At 39.7% G+C, this 19,235-nt stretch overlaps 1 long non-coding RNA gene across 3 annotated transcripts in view; it reads right to left on the bottom strand.

Annotated features, from left to right (window-relative positions):
* LOC102723803 (uncharacterized) overlaps window positions 1–17,401 on the bottom strand; it is a 182,624-nt gene extending 165,223 nt beyond the window's left edge. For all 3 annotated transcript variants that reach the window (XR_002956872.2, XR_929415.3, XR_428436.4), the window contains exons 1-3: window positions 17,238–17,401; window positions 16,257–16,355; window positions 4,637–4,729 (exon numbers count right to left, since the gene is read on the bottom strand). This is a non-coding gene — a long non-coding RNA (uncharacterized LOC102723803). The remainder of the gene's footprint in view (window positions 1–4,636; window positions 4,730–16,256; window positions 16,356–17,237) is intronic.
* Window positions 17,402–19,235: the final 1,834 nt, after the last annotated feature.

Raw genomic sequence — 19,235 nt, 5'->3', positions numbered from 1 at the left:
TCCAGGCCTTGATCCTGAAAATTCTCTCTGCATCTTCCAACAACCTTCTGTATGTTATCCAGCTTTTCTATAAAGATTGGTCTGGAATATTGTAGTCAGCCATTACTGGAAGCAAAACTCTAGTTTTTAAATTTTTTTTTTATTCTGTGGTAAATGCTATCTTTCTAAACTAGTTTTCAATTGTAGTTGGTATATAGAAATGTGATTGATTTTATTATATTGATTTTTATATCCAACAACATTGTCAAACTCTGCTAGTATTTCCAGTCATTTCTTTAAAGATTCATTATGGTTTTCTAATCAACCCTAGTTATACATATCATCTGTGAATTATAGTTTTGTTTCCTCCTTTCTAAGGCTTGCATATGTATAATTTCTTTCTCTTGTATTACACATCGTTTGGGAATGTCAGTACAATTGAACAGAAGTGGTGACAGAGGCAACTTTGTCTTGTTTGCAACCTTCAAGATAATGTTTTCAGGTGGAAGCATCACATTCCTTGATTTCAAAAGATATTATAAAGCTATTGTTATCAACACAGAATGGTACAGGCGTAAAAACAGATACAAAGACCAGTGTAACAGGATAGAGAGCCCAGGAATAAATCCATGTGTTTATTGTCTGTTGAATTTCAACAAAGGTGCCAAGAGCATACAATGAGAGAGAGACAGTCTCTTCAATACATGGTACTGGGAAACTGAATAGCCACATGCAGGAGTATGAAACTGGATCCTTATCTCACACTATATACAAAAATAAATGCAAATGGATTAAATACTTAAATGTAAGACCTGAAACTTTAAAACGACTAAAAGAAAACATAAGTTAAAGAGCTCTACAACACTGGTCCAGGCACTGATTTTTTAAATATGATCCCAAAAGCACAGGCAACAAAAGCAAAAATAGGCAGAACAGATTACATCAAACTAAAAAGCTTCTGTGCAGCAAGGGAAACAACAAAGTGAGGAGACTATCCACAGAAGAGGAGCAAGTATTTGCAAACCATACATCTGATGAGGAGGTAATATCCAAAATATATAAGAAACTCAAACTACTCATAGCAAGAAAACAAAGAACCCAATTATAAAACGGACAAAAGAACTGAATGATATTTCTCAAAAGAAGATATAAAAATGGAAAACAGTTCATGAAAAAATACTCAAATCACTAATCGTTAGGCAAATGTAAATTAAAACCACAATAAGATATTACCTCACACCTATTAGAACAACTACTATTAAAAAGACAAAAGTGTTGGCAAGGATATGGAGAAAAGAAAACCCTTGTACAATATTGATGGGAATGCAAATTAGTACAGCCATTGTGGAATGTGGTAAGGAGGTTTCTCAAAAAACTAAAAATAGAACTACCATATGCTCCAGCAATCCTCTGTCTAGGTACATATCCAGAGGATTTCAAATCAATATGTTGAAGAGATATCCGCACTCCCATGTTCACCACAGCATTATTCACAACAGTCATGATATGGCATCAACCTAAGTGTCCATCAATAGGTAAGTGGATAAAGAAAATGTGACATATATACACAATAAAATACTATTCAGTCACAAAACAAAGGAAATCCTGGCCAGGCGCAGTGGCTCACGCCTGTAATCCCACCACTTTGGGAGGCCAAGGTGGGCAGATCATGAAGTCAGGAGATCGAGACCATCCTGGCTAACACAGTGAAACCCCGTCTCTACTAAAAATATGAAAAAATTAGCCGGGTGTGGTGGGGAGTGCCTGTAGTCCCAGCTACTCGGGAGGCTGAGGCAGGAGAATGGCATGAACCCGGGGGGGCAGAGCTTGCACAGTGAGCCGAGATCACACCACTGCCCTCCAGCCTAGGTGACAGAGCAAGACTCTGTCTCCAAAAAAAAAAAAAAGAAGGAAATCCTGTCATTTGCAACAACATGAATTAACCTAGAGGACATTATACTAAGTGAAGTAAGCCAGGCACAGAAAGACAAAGACTATATGATCTTACTTATTTGCAGAATCTGAAAACCTTGAACTCATAGAAGTAGAGAGTAGAATGGTGGTTACAAGAGGCAGCAGGGAGACCGGAGAGTATAGTAAAAGGATGCAAAGTTTTAGTTAGACAGTAGAGATACATTTTTGAGGTTTATTGAAAAGCAAGGTGACTATATTCAATAATAATGTAGTATATATTTCACAACAGCTAAGTGTGTAAACTTCAAAGCTCTCATCACACACACAAAAAATGATGTTAGTGAGGTGGATATGTTAATTAGCTTGGTTCAATAATTCCATATTCTATACAAATACCAAAACATCATACTCTACCCCATAAATGTATACAATTATAATTTGTCCATTTAAAATAATATATTAATATTTTTAAGAGTTTTCAAATGTTTTCCATCAAGTGCGATGTTTGCTGAAAGGCATCTGTAGATGCCCTTAATTAGGATAAAGAAGTTTCTTCTAGTCCTACTTGGCTAAGACTGGATATGCAGAAATCAAAGTTGTCTCAGGTGTTTAGCAGACTCAAGGTGCACTAACTTCATCAATGTTTTCAGGATTCCAGAGCAATGTCTCATTCCTTCTATGTAGAGCGAAAGTTACCGGAGTCTTTTATTACCCATTGGTAGGGGGCCTTACATTCCAGATTTCTCATGAAGACCACGTTTTGCCTCTTGGGCCCCAAAGCAACATTAGTAGATATAGGTTTCTTTTCCCCAAGCTTTTTCAGAGACTGCCCACTTTTGATGTTAGAAAGTTCTTCCTAACGTCTATTCTCTGTTCTCTTCTCCTTCTGGTAAAAGATCAGCTAATCACCATCTTTCATGTAAAAGCACCTTTTCCTGTATTTGAAAAATGTTAAGTTCTCCCCTTAGTCTTGTTTTCAGCATACTAAATAAAAGCAGCCTCTTTTGCTTTTTTATGCCTGATATTTATTATTCTCCCCTGAAAATATCCAAAGCTCATCATAATTGCACTTCAATTCCAGCATCCTAACTTGGGTGATGCCATAGAAAGTCCTAACCAATATCAAGTACCAGGGGAAGACTATGTAATGATTTGTTTCTCCTCTACATTTCTCATGCTCTTATTTTTCTCTGCCTTTTTAATCACAGCCCTCCATTGCTGAGCCATTCTTCACTTTGACCGCTGGACAATTTCTTGTTATGAATGGATGAATGTCCTCTGAGAATCAGTAGGACCTTCACACTTGTCCACACTTTTTCCACTCTTGTCACAATCACTTAGCATTTTAATCCTGCTGAATTTCAGGATGTTAGCTAGCAATATAGTGCAATCCCCTATCATTGGCAGATGGAATCAGGATGTCTTATATGTACTCTCCTAAATCACTAACAGACACGTTAAGTAATACCATGTCACAGGGCCAACTCTTTCAGAACTCCAGTCAATAAAGCAACATTTACCCACTCATGTGGGGCACCTACCATCTAAATCAGGGCACTGTCAATCTTAGCTGCACCCTACAAGTTTTTTTAAATGCCAGTGCCTGGCCTCTACTCCAAAAAAAAAAAAATCTGATATAATTGGTCTGGAGTGGGGCCACCCAAAGACTGGAATATTCAGCCAGGGTTGAGACTACTAATCAATATCTTTGGCACATTGTGCTATTGTTTAGTATGTTTTAGCAGAGTAGTTTTCAAACATCACTGTACATCCAACCTACCTGGGGATCTTTTTTAAATGCAGACTCTGATTCAGTGGGTCTTGGATGGGACCTGAGATTCTGCACTTCTAACAATCTTCCATTTGATGCTGATGCCACAAACCACATTCTCGTCTCATTTATAAAGCAGTAGAGCAGAGATCCTTACTCAAGTTGAGCATGCAGTTTACTGTTGAATAGCTTATTCTAAGCTACATGAAGTATGAACATACTAGATCAAGTATCTTTTAAGCCTAACTTTCACATCTTATTAGAAATAATTTCGGAAATTCCCTCAGCCTTTGCCTAGATATGCAAGTTTTCTCATAGTTCACTCTGTCCCTGTGTTCTTTGGTCCATGACATAGTTCTGGGTTTGTGAAATGAGTGAGCCTATGAAGCTGGGTTTCCAATCATTATCTTGGAATCCCCTCTAATGGCTACCATTATCTCTCTGTCCTGTCAGATAGAGTCTAGCCAAGAAGCCTCCCTCTCTGAGGTTTACTGGGTTCTGGATGGAAAAGGATTCCAACCAGCATCAGTGCCCTTGCACACACATACACTGACACAGACCTGAGTCTGTGTCACACACACATTTCACACACATATGCTTGCTTTGTCAAGCCCCTGGCCTCCCTACAATCTTAAGGTTTCAGAAAAATGAAAAGTAGCTGCTGTCCTCTTCACAAGAAGACAGGTATCCCAGTTATGAAAGAATACTATAGAAGACCCTCTGCCTGTGCCCTGCTTGTTTTGAATTCTATCATAGATGCTCCTTACATATACGCCTTATGTCCTCCTCCCTGGTGTTGGAGCTGTTCTCAACAATGCCTACCATCATGTGGCACCAGGGATGTATGACAGGACATTTGCAGCTAGTATACTCGAGGGTGTCTTGACATGTCTATCAACAATGTTATGAGATCCTCACTGGGGGAACCCAAACATCTTTGAGGAAGGCAGGAATACCCCCTAAGTCGCTTACCAGTTGGGTGATCTTGACATGTCATTTGACTGCTTAGAACTTCATTTTCTTTATCTGGAAAATGGTGCCAATAGTACCTGCCACCCAGGGTTCCTGTAAAAATTAAAGAAGATGCACATGAAGTACATGCACAATACCTAGTACTTAATACTGACTCAGTCAAGGTTAGCAACTTACATTAGAAGTCTCAGTGAGGGCTGGGCGCAGTGGCTCACGCCTGTAATCCCAGAATTTTGGGAGGCTGAGAGGGGCAGATCACTTGAGGTGAGGAGTTCAAGACCAGCCTGGCCAATATGGTGAAACCCCATCTCCACTAAAAATTAGCCAGAAGTGGTGGCACATGCCTGTGGGCCCAGCCACTTGGGAGGCTGAGGCAGGAGAATCACTTGAACCCGGAAGGTGGAGGTCACAGTGAGCCAAGATGGTGCCACTGCACTCAAGCCTGGGCAACAAAGTGAGAAGAAGAAGAAAGAAGAAGAAAAAAGAAAGAAGAAGAAGTGGCCTCAGTGAGCCATATCTGGAATATTTCAAGTCTTATTTTCATTTTCCACAAATTCCGCTAGAGGCCTAAGGGGTGAGAGTAGACATGAGTTCTACTCCTGGATTATATCTCATATTCATACAGCTCTGAAACACACAGTACACCCTGTCTTTGGATTTTCCCATACACATCCCACTACCCCACCCAGTAAAAAAGAATAAGAAAGATACATTTTCCTCAGAAAAAAAAATACATGCCTGTTGATCTTTCAATTCATGCTAACCCAAGTCAGGCCTTAAATGTGGGAATAATCATTCTGGCAGATGTCACTCTCCTTTAGGGTTTTCTTTTTCTTTCTAAGCCTGAAGCGTTGGCTGCTGCAGGAAGCCAAGGAGAGAATAAGGTAGGCTGTTCCTGAGGGGCAGAAAGAGACTGGACCTTCCTTCTTTCCCAGGGATCATGATGGGAGAAACCAGAGAGTGTGCAGTAGAAAAGCAGATTAGACACATGAAAGACAGAAGCCTGTGCTTCCACTCAACGTGGGAGGACTCTAGGTGAGTCTGCAGAGGGTAGTGAAATTCACAGCCAAGCCCTGGCCTGCTTTCATTTGATGCTGTTAGTTAATCAAGCACATCAGTTACCAGGCCAAAAAACTCCAAGCCCCTCTATCCCAACCCCTGAAAAAGATCCAGGTGCATCTGACTTGAACTGGGTAGCCTCAAGGCTCTCCAGACCATCTGCAGCCACATGTCTCTTACCTAGCACAGCATCACATTTGTTCTTTCTCAGGTTCATATACAGTGGGAAAGGCAAGAGGAAAAACTAATTTTCAAGTTATTTTTTGGCAAAATAATGTACCCAATTCTTTTTACAAGCATGATCTTTAATAAAATCCATAAAAACACTCCCTTTAACAGAAAGCAAACTCAAGGTTAAGACTTTCCCTGGCTTCCTTTTGGTGTACTTGGCCACGCAAAATTTTAGTGTTGGAAACTGCTGACAGAATTTAATTGCAAGTCAAGCTAAATGTCAGTTGTGCTGAGATAGTACTGAAAATATCAATGTACATTTACATTATGTCCCTGCATATATTTCTAAACCCAAAGTTAGGATTCCTAGTTTGACAAGAATGTATTTTTATTTGTGAGAATATTTAAAAGATGTAAAATGAAATCATATTTAGTTACATGCTTGATAGACTAATCCTTTCCCTCCCTGCCAAATAATGACATGAAATTGTCATTTGGCCCATCCTAGAAAATAGGTGACACTCTAAATATACTACCTCAGGACACCAGTCCTCCCACGTGGCTCCAAATAGCAGGTACTCTGCAAATACACTGTTACCCTTGGGGGAGGCAAGGATCCCAAATTTTTCTGGCCCCTCAAAATTACCATCAGCCTGAGCCACTCTAAAGGAGATGGGGAGAAACCCATAGCCTGTGTGAATTCTACTGCCTGTGTGGTTGACAGAAGGCAATCTCTCCTCTCAAGCCGCTTTAATTGAGACATAAGACACACCCATGCCTGAAGAATAAGGAGAAAATAGTACCAATTTCTATTTGGTCTAGCAGAGATTTTAACCCTGTATTCCCAACTTGTAGAGTGTTCTCTGGCAAATAAAAGGTACTTAATAATTTCATAATTGTCCAATAAATAAATGAATGAATGACACACACATTACTGATTTCTAACAAAAATTGAAATGTTTTTACCCCAAGTACAACAACTTTTTTCCCAGAATTACGGAAGACTTGCAGTTTCTTGCACCCGAAGAGGTAGAATCTGAGTATTGAAGCCTGCAGGGAAGGGAGGAATGGGAGAAAGAATAGAGATGCTAGGGAAAACAACACATCATCACACAGGAAGCCAAAGACCTGAAGGCCTCACAGAAGAGAGGTAAAGGTCAGAGAGCTTCCAAGCTCCGTGATGTTAAGTTAGGGCACAAGAAAGAAACTGTAGTGGTATTACATGAGATCCTATACAAATAGCCAAACAGACTATATATCCTAAGTCAGTTGAATCCATGACTTACTAGAGGGCCCAACTGTGACCTCACCACCTATCTCTGAGCACTCTGGCCCTATTTCATTAAAGAAGTCAAAGACTTACAGTGGGGAGAAGGGAGCACCAAAGCCATCTCACAAATTCAGCTATGTTTTATATCTTGTCTATTTTTTTAATGCAGAAAAAATTCTGATGTTTATTTCTCAGATTATGAAGATTTCAGATCAATTGTGTCTACAGTCCATATGCTGGATTCATATTAGTTTTTATTCCTTGAACACACATCAGCTGTCTAGAGGGAGGTGGTTAATGGCATCCTCAGTGAGAAGCAGCAGCCAGCAGGGCTTTGAAAATGTGCTATTGATGTTCACCAAAGACAACAATCCACATCCAGACACCCAAATGCTGACAGGGCTGCTGTGGGTGCCAGGTCCACACAGCCTGCCATGACCACCCCTGCGCACCCCTCTCCTGGCCGCACATGCAGCGCTTCCATTGGAATATCAAACCTAAAGGGAGAAGCAAGTCACAGTCTCTGCCTCAGCTTGTCCAGATAATTTTGCAAAAGTATAACAGGTGGAGACCCAGACTCACTCACTACTGAGAGTTTGACAGGTTAGGAGGTGGAGTACATACAGTTCTCAGGGTAAATGAAAGATATGGTTAGGACTCATTACCGGGAAAGGGAAAGACCCAAAGTCCTAGAGTCAGAAGAAGAGGAGAGACAGGAGAGACATAGGGAGTCCCCAGCCAGAGACAAAGGGAAGAAGAAACTAACAAGCCAGATCAAGGGGGCTTCAAATGAAAATACATTCTATCAGTTTCAGAAATTTTGAAATATTCACAATTTAGAATTTTCACTTTTAAAAAGTCATTTGCTTATATTGTCCTATTGGCTATCCTTATAATTCCACTAAAGTTTTAAGTAGCATATATATAATCAGTGCACATACATAACATTTCAGCAAATCACCCGTCAGAAGAAAAATGTCATTCTTTGACAGAGGAGTGAACGTTAAATCCCTAGCGGGCAGGAGCCCGAGCACCTTTTTTGCACACAGTAGGAAATGCAAAAATGTCTGTGGGAGTAAATGAAGTGGAAAAGAATTGCAAAGAGTGTATGAGATTCTGTTTATTGTAATGGAACTACAAAGCAAAACATTCCCTGAAAAATTGCTATCCCTGACCCTGGTCTCCACAAATATCAATCATGGAAACATCTGATGATACATTAATACATCACAACCGCCTCTTAAAAGTCTGAATTTCTGAGACTCTGGAAAGAAAAGTTCACGAAACCATGCCTATGTTCCAACCAGCAGCTGTTTCTGAGGAATTAGTAGTAAGAACACACCATATTTGTGACTCTGATGCAGACCAAACCTTTGGATGGCCCCTCACCTGCCCCTGAGTTTTCCACCTCAAAATCCAGAGGGCTCTGCACTCCATGCCTCAGGAACCGTGTAGTTTCAGGTCCATTTGCATCTGGAGCTCCTCCTGGAATAATCAATCTGTGCTTACCGAGAGATGGTGCAGTGTGTGGCACCTTTAGTATCAGAAAGGTACTAGAACAGAATGCGGCCTAGGGCCTGACATCACACAACTCTAGATGCACCATCTGCACAGAGAGTGTTCACATAGGCATATGCCACATGACCCTGCCTGGGATCATAACCTGACACTGGATCTGCCGGGCTGCATGTTAGGTGCTGGAGATATCAAAATTAAAATGTCTAAGTCTTCTGAGCTCCAAAACTTCAAATCATATTTTTTAAGTTAAAAAATTTAGTGCATGACTTCAGAGTGGTCTTCAAGACAATGAAGTGACTAAACCCTGCAGACCCTCCTTCTTCATTGCCATGGAGGACCACACAAGAGAAATTAGGTATAGATAAGAACAGATTCTTGTCTTAGGAACCTAGCCAGTTAAGTGACTATTTTTTAAAATAATAAGCTCTAATATGTTTTTTCTACAGACATAAAATCTGAAATAAAAACTCCTAGCTCCATCACTTTCTACCTATACGACCTACTCATGCTCTATCTTCTCATCTGAGAAATGAGAATAAAAATAGTACCTACAACAGAGGCTCTTAATACAATGTAAACTCCTTACCCCAATAAATGACACATGGTAAGCCTTTAATAGATGCTATACAGTATAGTAGATAAGTTCTAAGAACACTTTTTAAAAATGAAACAAAAAACCCGGATCAGATATATTGCAGTGAATTCCCGCAAAAGTTTTAGCCTCTTTTCTGGAATTATTTAAATAAAAGATTAGATATTCTGTATGATCCATTTGTCCAGTAATTTTTTAACACAATGAGCCAGAAACTAGAAACTCTTAGGGGTTCAAACATAAAAGAAGTATGCTCATTGCCGTAAGAACTTCACAACTGCCTGAACCATTGAGCATGAGGGCAGAAGAGTGTGCAAATGTTGGTTAAGGTCTCATTTAGACTCCTGTATTTATTCTGACTATAATCCATATTTATTCTAGACACTTCTTTCTTCCTTTTCTCTCAGCCTCCCACAGATAGTAATTCACAAAACGGTTGGAAGACAGAGATAAAGCCAGTGGCTTGAGGTATACTTTGTCCTAGGGATTCTCCAGGTATTTTGACCCTCATTGGTATTTATTAGTTCATAGAGTGCTCCTCATACTCCCCAAACAGGACCGCTTTTACTTTTGAGGGCCCTCTGCTTCCCCATCCTAAGTCAACCTACACTCCAGATCTAGTGCTGACCTTCCAGGCCCCAAAAGCATCACATGGGATCACTTATCCCCATAAATTCTACAGGTTCCTGGATATTAAATTCCTGGGGCCATGAGTGGCTTTTGACAGCAGACAAAACTAACTCTAGGAATGTCTTAACCATCATAAGGTGTGCAAACAACACGTTGATCTTATTTGCCTTAGCTCACAATTGATTCTTAATTAATACATTTTTAAAATTTCTAGAGGCACAAATAATAAATAATTGGTTATAGAGTATTCAAAGAGATAACTATGATTCAGGGTTTTTCTCTTTTCATGGAAATGACATACCTTACTTTCATGATATTTTCCTCCAGCTAACAAGATGAGGTTTTATGGTGTGAAAATCAACTCACCAGTTATGGGGAAATGGATTTATACCAAGGGCTCTCCTAAGGAATGCACTGACTGGCAGAGAAGCCTGCCATGGCTTTGCTTTCAGCTTCTTGGTTATTGGGCATTTCTTACTGTAAGGTCTGCAGACTAAGAGACCAGGGTAGACACGATGGAGGAAGTAACTTAGTCTGTTAAAAGCCCACAAATCACCAAACTCTGTTTCTGCAGGAACTCCTAGAACAAGTCACCTTGCATGTCACTGCTGCAGCTTAGAGACCTCGGTCCACCTCCAGGGCCTGATCCCTGTCATTTGCATACTACCAATCAAGGAATAAGAACTACATCTCAGGATCTGAAGCTCTAAAATGCATCTGTTCATGTGCATGTTGCAGAGACCAGTCAGTATTTTGGTGGAAAACATCAGCCCAATCTCTACCTAAAGGACTACCATCAGCACCAGGATCCATTCAGGGTATGAAACTGAATACTGTTAGGAAACCTGGTCCAGAAAAGCCAAAGCAACTCCAAATTTAGGGAAGTAAATGTGTTTTCATTGCGTGTGGTTTCATGCTTGTAAATGAGGCCACAAAGTTAAACTTCACTTAGGAGTGATAAAAGTTGTTCCTCCACACACACAAAAAGCATCCAAATAGAAGATGCCTTATCTGCAGACATAATCCTATCACAAGGTACCAGTTATGTTTCTACTCTTGGGATGACCTCCATGGAGAAGCCTAGGCAAATTTCCTTTATGCCCAACTGTTAGGCAACTTTCAGTGCTCGTAGGCTGTTGCCTCTCCCTTCTCCTGACAAGAACAACAATCAAGAGGATCCCAAGGATGCTAAGACCAAGGTTGATAAGGTTGCCAAGACCCTTAAGCATTCCAAGGATGTTAAGACCAAGGATCCCAAGGATCCTAATCCCAAAGATGCTAAGACCATTAGTCATTTCATTGGAAAAGACTTTTCTCTAAAACAAAACAGATATTTGACAAACATAACCATGCTTAAAAATACTGATAATCATTCCATCAAAACCAATTCCTCTGTATTAATGCTGTCTTAAAATCCCAAAGTCTGGAACATCCCACAGGCCAGTGGACAAATGTCTCATTGCTCTTTCAATATTAATGGAGGGAGTATCAAGATGAAAAATGCATATATCCCACCGCTGTCACCAAGATCAACCATTCAGTCAGCACCTATATAGAGAATGCTGCATTGTTGCCTAGCTCAACTGTGTGTTAGCCCTTTTACTCAACTACATTGCACCAAGCTTCATGTTTCCATGGCTCCCTGCTTTGTAGTCATCCACTTTAGATGTCCCTCCTGCGGATCAACTGGGCATGTGCCAAACTGAATTCATCATCTTACCCTCGAGGCCTGCTTCTTTGCCCTGTTTCTATGTTAGTCAAAGGTTCTGCCTATCTCCCAGTCATTTGCCTCTACTTCCATATTCATGTTTACTGTATCTCCCACCTCTTTTTTCCCACTCCTCTCTGCCTATTCAAGGCACTCAGTGTCCCTGACCTGGATTATTTCAAAAGCCTCCTAAATGGTACACCTTGCTCCAGTCTCTGTACCTGTCATTCATCATACATACAGTGGCCTGATTATTCCATCCAAGGGACTGCTTTGTCATGTCACATTTTGGTTCAAATTTGTTTGATGGATTTCCATCCACTCCCAGAAAATCAAGTCCACATTCCTTAGCACAAGAGTCAACATCCCTCTGTTCCAACCTTTATCCAGTATATCCTCCCAACGTTACAGGCGACAGTTTCTTGCTACTGGGGTCTCCTTGCTCTTCCCTTTGACTTCCTCCTTGCTCCTCCCTAGCTTGACCCCCACAAATAACCCCAAATTCTTCTTCCTTCCTTATACACCATAAGTCTTACTCCCTGCTCACCCTATCTATATCCTAAGGCAGTGGTTTTCAAATTTTGTGACTAAAATTCACAGTAAAAAAAAATATTTTACATTGTGAGTACACACATGCACACACATAAATATTATATAAAATATATACCCAAAATTATATAATACATAATATATAATATTTTTATTTAATATATATGCCAAAAGTTTCATGAAATAACAGTTAGCTTCAGTTCTATGTATTCTGATATTTTCTATTCTATGGTCTATTTCCTTTTTAAAAAATTACTGATTACAATCCACTAATAATTGATTTCGTGATCTGTTAACTGGCTAAAATCCAGTTTGAAATACACTGGCTCACTGTCTATTTTTCCAGGGTTCAAATGATCCATCCAGGGGTTTTCCAGAGGGGTTTACTCCCAGTCTCATAAAAACATGAAAAGCATATCAGAAAACCTTGATATATTATCTCAACGTAAGCAGTATAGGGTAAGAATAAAAATGGGTGGGCTGTGGAAGAAAAATGGCTGGTTTTAGATCCAGCTCAGAAGTAAACTTCTCTGAGCTTTAAATTTTTTTTATTTTAAGTATACTGATGTAATGATAGCTAATTCATAGAAATATTGTGGGGCTCAAAAGGAGGATCTTATATAAAATACATAGCACAGTTATTTTCCTACAAAGTAAGCACTTAACAAATGGTAGCCGTTATTATCAGTCTTAGTACTGGTATGATCACACACAAATGCAAGTGATATTCAAATTATCTACTCACTGGAAGCATCTGTGTCATCAGTCCCCTTTATTAGACTTTGCAACTGAGATGTGGCCCCTGTCTGCAGTCTGCATTTCTCTGGCAAGATAGGTACTCTATGCATGTTACCAAGGGAGGATGGAATAGTAAAGTGTGAGAAGATAGTCATCCAATTTTATATTTATTTCCAAAACTACCACAATATTCCATTGTTTAGTAAGAACTAGAATTTGGTATCCAAGCAAATTTGGAACTGAAAACATGCAACCCATTGGAATATAAATAGAAAACATTTTAAATAACCTCCATATCCTTTTACTTGCTTTCCTTTGCTCCTCATCACCTCCCAGAATTATTAACACTGTAAAGAGACAACAGAATCAGATAAGTGATGTCAGTTTGGCTTACAGAAGCTGTAGGTCAGCTACTTTGTAGGCAAGAACCCAAAGGTTCATAGGCAGAGACTCTGGGTCTCCAGCATGTGTGATATGGGCCAGGGCAGGGCTGCGTGAGTAGACCTCCAATTCAAGGCATGCCATCCTGACACAATTCTTTAGTGCTCTCTCATGTCTATCATTCCCTTTGAGAAACCTGGAGGGAGGCTTACACCCTGACATGCGTATAACCCTGAAGCAAAAGTGGTTTGTTTTGCTTTCAGCTATAGAACCTATGATCTAATTACCCTATAAAAAAAGGTAATGTCAATAAAATGTTGGGATTTTTAAAAATCTTGTTTATTTGTCCTGATCCTAAAGCTTCTTAGAGAAACCCCTGTTACCAACCTACTCCTGATTATGGAGGTTCTCATTAGGTGAACCATCCATCTGAGACACTTTTGCCAGACACTCCAGCTTAACCCCACTGCTACTTGGGACTTAACCTGGGATCACCCTAGAATGACTCATTGGGGATACTGATCTCTGCAGATCAGGCCAAGCTATACATCCCTTTTCCATTGGAATGCATGATAATTGATCTAAATTCAGAATACTATCCAAATCTGGGAAGGCTATGCTCTGGGGTCAACCTGGAACTTCAGCTCTGTCACACTGATCTGTATGCCAGCAAGAGCTCCCCCAAACTGCTATCTCTTGATTTTGTAGCCCCCACACCTGTCACATTTCCTGACACATTGTACACTGTCAACAAATACTTGTTGGATTGAATTGACTTGACTTGTGGAAGCCAACATAATGCAAACAGAGCAAGTTGGGACATTTCAATTCAATGCCTTAACTTTCCATCCTGAATATTTTTATTAAAGTTTAAATCCAAAGCAGGCATGTACATCACCCTAAATTCTCTGATAACATTGCATCCTCCAAACCACCTAGTTTTCCCTGACTTTTATGAGCATAAATTAGAATCTGTGGTATTTGAATGGGATTTTTGAAGGATCTAATCTTATCTCTTGACCATATTAAACCTGCATTTATTCAAAGGTCCTCACTTTAAGGGCCATTCCAACCTTAGTCCAGCTTGTAGGAGGATGTAAGAATGAGCTTACGATTAAAACCCTTTGGAAAGCATGAACAAATGATAACCAGTTGTGATACTTTTCCACATTTTTACAATATTTAAAAATGTGTTCAGATATCCAAAACTGATCCCACAATTTGATTTATTCACAAGTCCCCTGAAGTGCTTAATAAGTACAATATGGTACAATGAAAATCATGCTTATTACTGCTATTGGGTTGGTAATTCTCCAAGATGAAATCATACTTTTCAGGTTATAAATATACATTTTATTGTTGATTTTATGCTGCATTTTGAAATACTGCTTCTCTGCTTTCATATTTTCAGGGCCTTACAAGGGCATCATAAATCAGTCCCAAACTGGAGGAATGCTAATTGATATCAGGTGATTTCAAAAATGAAGGCTAGGTTAAACTTGCTGTGTGTTTCATGAATTCTAATTCTTATGGAACTCTTTCAAAACCAAGATGTACAAGAAATTATTCATCTTCCAAGATTAATTAAATAAATGAAGATTAATTAAATAAATGTGTACACATTCAATATTTTAAATATCTAAAAGAGGACTTAAAGAAGGTGTATATACAACCTAGCTCATATGCCAAAAATATAGAAGAGAGAGGACATACACAATGCATTGTCAGATGATTCAATGCTTTCTCGGTGAAACAAGTAACATTCTATTACTCATAATTTGATCTAAATAATGTTCTAACCCCCCTTCCGCATCTTTCTTTGATTTTCTGGTCTTGCAAGCTATGTTACATCTGTGTTGCACAGAATTCTAGGTGTAAACCAACAGGTGTTACCAAGAAGAGCAAGTCGCATTCCTCAAAGGTTGTTAGAACAATAACAATATCGTACTTCAGATTTTTCCTGGTGAGTGGGAAATGGCGATAGACCAGCATAAACATTGGCACATTGTTTTTGATCTTCACTGGATAAGCCACTCAAGATAAAGATCAATGTTTGAGTATTGTATATTAATCTGTCTCACAAAATACTATACTATGGTAGCATTTCCCAATATATGTTATTACATGTAAGAACACAAAAAAGATAATAGCTGGGGATTTTGTGTGTGTGTGTGTGTGTGTGTGTGTGTGTGTGTGTGTGTATACCATCAAGTTGTAAGCTCATGAATGTTACAGCTCAGGAAGATAAATTTCAAAAGGGACTGAAATAAAAATATTCCACAAATGATCGTCTAGCCTATATAATGCATAGACAAAGGGAAAAACTGTAGAGTGAGGTGACGTGCAAATTAGGGAATTTTGAGACACATGTATTAGAACATACTTGAGAAAAATTCTATGCTGAAATTATATAACACTAGTACTAAATATCTTAGAGATCAATCATTTCAACTCTCCAATTTTAAAAACGTAGAAACCGAGGCCCAGAAAATTAAAAGATTAGCTAAAGGTTACAAGCGAGTTAGTAGCAAAGCCAGGACAAGAAATGAGTTTTTCTGGCCAGGTGCAGTGGCTCACTCCTGTAATCCCAGCACTTTGGGAGGCTGAGGCCAGAAGATTGGTTGGGGCCAGGAGTTGGAGACAAGTCTGGCCAATACGGGAAAACCCCGTCTCTACTAAAAATACAAAAATCAGCCCAGCAAGGTGGTGGTTGCCTGTAATCCCAGAGACTCAGGAGGCTGAGGCAGGAGAATCACTTGAACCTGGGAGGTGGAGGTTGCAGTGAGCTGAGATCGTGATACTGTACTCCAGCCTGGGTGACAGAGCAAAACTCCGTGTGAAAAAAAAGAAAAAGAAATGAGGTTTTCTGTTCCTAGAAAAAAAAACTCTAACTCCCAATCCACATTTTGAGGCTGAGGGCAAGGACAATGAGGGGGTCCTCTGGAATCTGTCCCTTCCCGGAAAGTAACAAGGCCAAGAACAGACACAGGAAACTATGTCTTACCCTGGTCAGCTCACTTGTCACTTGAGACAATTCTCGATCACACTGACAAAAGTTCTGCTGAAGAGAACAGTGATGTTTTCTCTCTTTTTTGACCTTTAACTGAGAGAAACCAATTGGTTACTGAGAGAAAACAGTATCTTAAAAAAGAGGTTATAAGTCATAGATTGTAAACATGTTTCTTGATAACTGATCTTTGATGACTCCCTTGTGGATTTACTCTGACACCATCAGAGTAACATGTAGCCAAGATGGGATCTCTACCCTCCTTCCTACCTCTTCTCTCCTATTGTCTATGTGCTCATATAAGAGGAAGCAAGAACCTCATAAAAGCGCATGCAGTGGTCTGGGTGTGGTGGCTCACACCTGTAATCCTAGCACTTTGGAAGGCCAAGGCAGGTGGATCGCCTGAGGTCAGGAGCTCAAGACCAGCCTGGCCAACATGGCAAAACCCCATCTCTACTAAAAATACAAAAGTTAGCTGGGTGTGGTGGCAGGCACCTGCAATCCCAGCTACTCAGGAGGCTGAGACAAGAGAATTGCTTGAACCTGGGAGGCAGAGGTTGCAGTCAGCCGAGATCATGCCACTACACTCCAGCCTGGGTAACAGAGCGAGACTCCATTTCAAACATAAAGTGCATGCAATGGCTGACTCAATCTTGCATACAGTGAGTCTAAATTGTCATGGGTGTGTGCCCATCCCTGCTTTTGCACAGGGCTAGGTCCTTATCTGGTACAGTGCTCACAGTGACTGTGATATGTAATGGATGATGTCTCCAACACACTCCTTTTCTAGGCATGTCTACTTTGATCACTAAGAGAATAGAATAGAAGAAGTCCAGTTCTGCCCTGTAAAAGCTGAAACAGCCTGACCTCCAACAAGCTAAAGAGTGGATTTCCACATCTGCTGCTCCTTTGGGTAGAAGGCGTCAGCTCTCAATATCCAGAGGACAGGACAAGGGAAGCAAATAATTAAATACTCACTGTGAACCAGGCCTTGAGACGTTTCTCACTAATGCTTGCCTCAACCTTGACAGGAAGAAGGTACTGTCCTTATGTTATAAATTAGAGAAATGAAGGTTTGACAAGCTAAAGAACTTGCCCAGTCACCCAGATCCATCAGACTCTGAAGCCCATTTTCTTACTGCAACTTTATCTTATGCTTAAGGAAATTAAGATCCAAAGAGATGAGGTAATGTCTAGGGTCACAGGCCAAGTAGTGGCAGAGATGAGACTAAAATCACTGACTCTTGCTCACTGCTTTTTCTACAGCTTTTAGAGAATTCTACAACGTGCAAACTTAGAATTCATGATAAAACAAAACTAAACAAATTAGTACAGGACTGTTAGAAACTTCAAAGCAGCAAGAATAAACAAACTATACACCTTTACCAGCATGTAAGGCAAACTAAGATAGCTCTGTGTATGTGTGTGTGCATGCACACGTGTGTGTTTTTATGTATTTGGATATACCATCTACATTACATGTCTATGTCAGTTATATGTGTGGCCAGGGAAAAATTTAAACGTTAATGAATTGTGCTTCTATTTGCATTTCCATTACCAAAAGTTCATTGTTTGGCAGAGGAAAGGATTAACTTTTTTTCTTAAGAAAATGTCTCTCTGCACGACATTAGTAAATAAGAGGGCACATTGTAGATGACATTTTGGAATGAACTTAAGCTGATGAATCCATTCTTATGGAAAGCAAACCACTTCTGTTGTCAAAAAACAAATCACTAAGTGAATTATATGCCATCCCTAAAGATTTAGCATCTTAGGCACATTCCTAGATATTTCAATTTCAAGACAATTTCCTTGGGGTCAAATGGATACATCCCCTTTGCAGTTATTTTTTACTCCATTCTATCATATGCATTTATTAGTTTTACATTGAAATATGCCACCATCTTTGCCGCACATTAAGTGAGAAGGCAGAAACCCCAGAAAAGAATCTACATTCTCAATGCATTGGTCAGTATAGAACAGCTCAATGGCTTTACCCATTTCTTACTCACGTCACAGTTTCTGCTCCATCGAGTCATTCAGGAATTTAAGATTTTTCCACCCAGTGGCTAAACCAGCTTCTATGAATTTGGAATTCCCTACTGGATCTTCAGGATCAAGATGGCAGAAAATGGAAGAGTACTGGAGCATGGAGATTCACTGGGAATGTTTCAGAGGCCAGGGATGGGAAGTTTGCTCGTATACCATTGGCCACCACCTAGTTACATAGACCTCTTGTTGCAGAGAAACTGGGAAATGTATGTTTTTTATCTGCTAAAAAAGTAAGAAAACATGGACTTTGTTGTGCACATAGCAGCCTTAAATAATTAAATCTTAATTATGGATGACATATATAAAAATTCATAGTCTGTTTAGGAAAGATAGACAATAAAGCAGAATAAAATAGCTTAAGCTCCATATTATTTCTTCCAGTTCTGAATTTTAATTTAGATGTTTTCATAAAAGCTGCATCAAGTCATTTGTGGGAAGAGATGGAGTGTATGTGTGTGCATGTATACAAAAGCATGGTATTAAAAAATCAGAAAAAATCTAAACCTCTATCTTCATGGCCACCATACTTCTTAACAATACCAAATATTTTCCTTCCCTCTCTTGGTTTTCTGTCTAGACTACATTTTCTCTCTTGGTGTAAATCCTCCTATTCCAAGCACATTCTACCTATAACCTTTTTGCTAAAGATGGCATTGACTTTATTCCCACCTATTCCATTTCATTAGAGAAGCTGTCCCACCCACAGGCCCTAGAGGCACTCTTATGAACCAAGAGAACACTCCCCATATCAGATATATCTGAATTGGCCAAAGATGGATGCCTTATCCCTGCTGGGCCAGCCAGAGTCATTGTTCTGGAATTTGTAGTTGAGAATGAAGTCTATTGTTACTGGGCTATAGTCACTATAGGGTTTAGGGTTGGGCACTAACAGTCAAGCTATATACCTGCCACCTAAGTCAAGTG

The sequence above is a fragment of the Homo sapiens genome, chromosome 9 (assembly GCF_000001405.40).
Source record: "Homo sapiens chromosome 9, GRCh38.p14 Primary Assembly".
In the NCBI taxonomy this organism is placed as follows: domain Eukaryota; kingdom Metazoa; phylum Chordata; class Mammalia; order Primates; family Hominidae; genus Homo; species Homo sapiens.
Note: the sequence above shows the minus strand (reverse complement) of the source record. Positions and strands in the feature narration are given on the sequence as shown.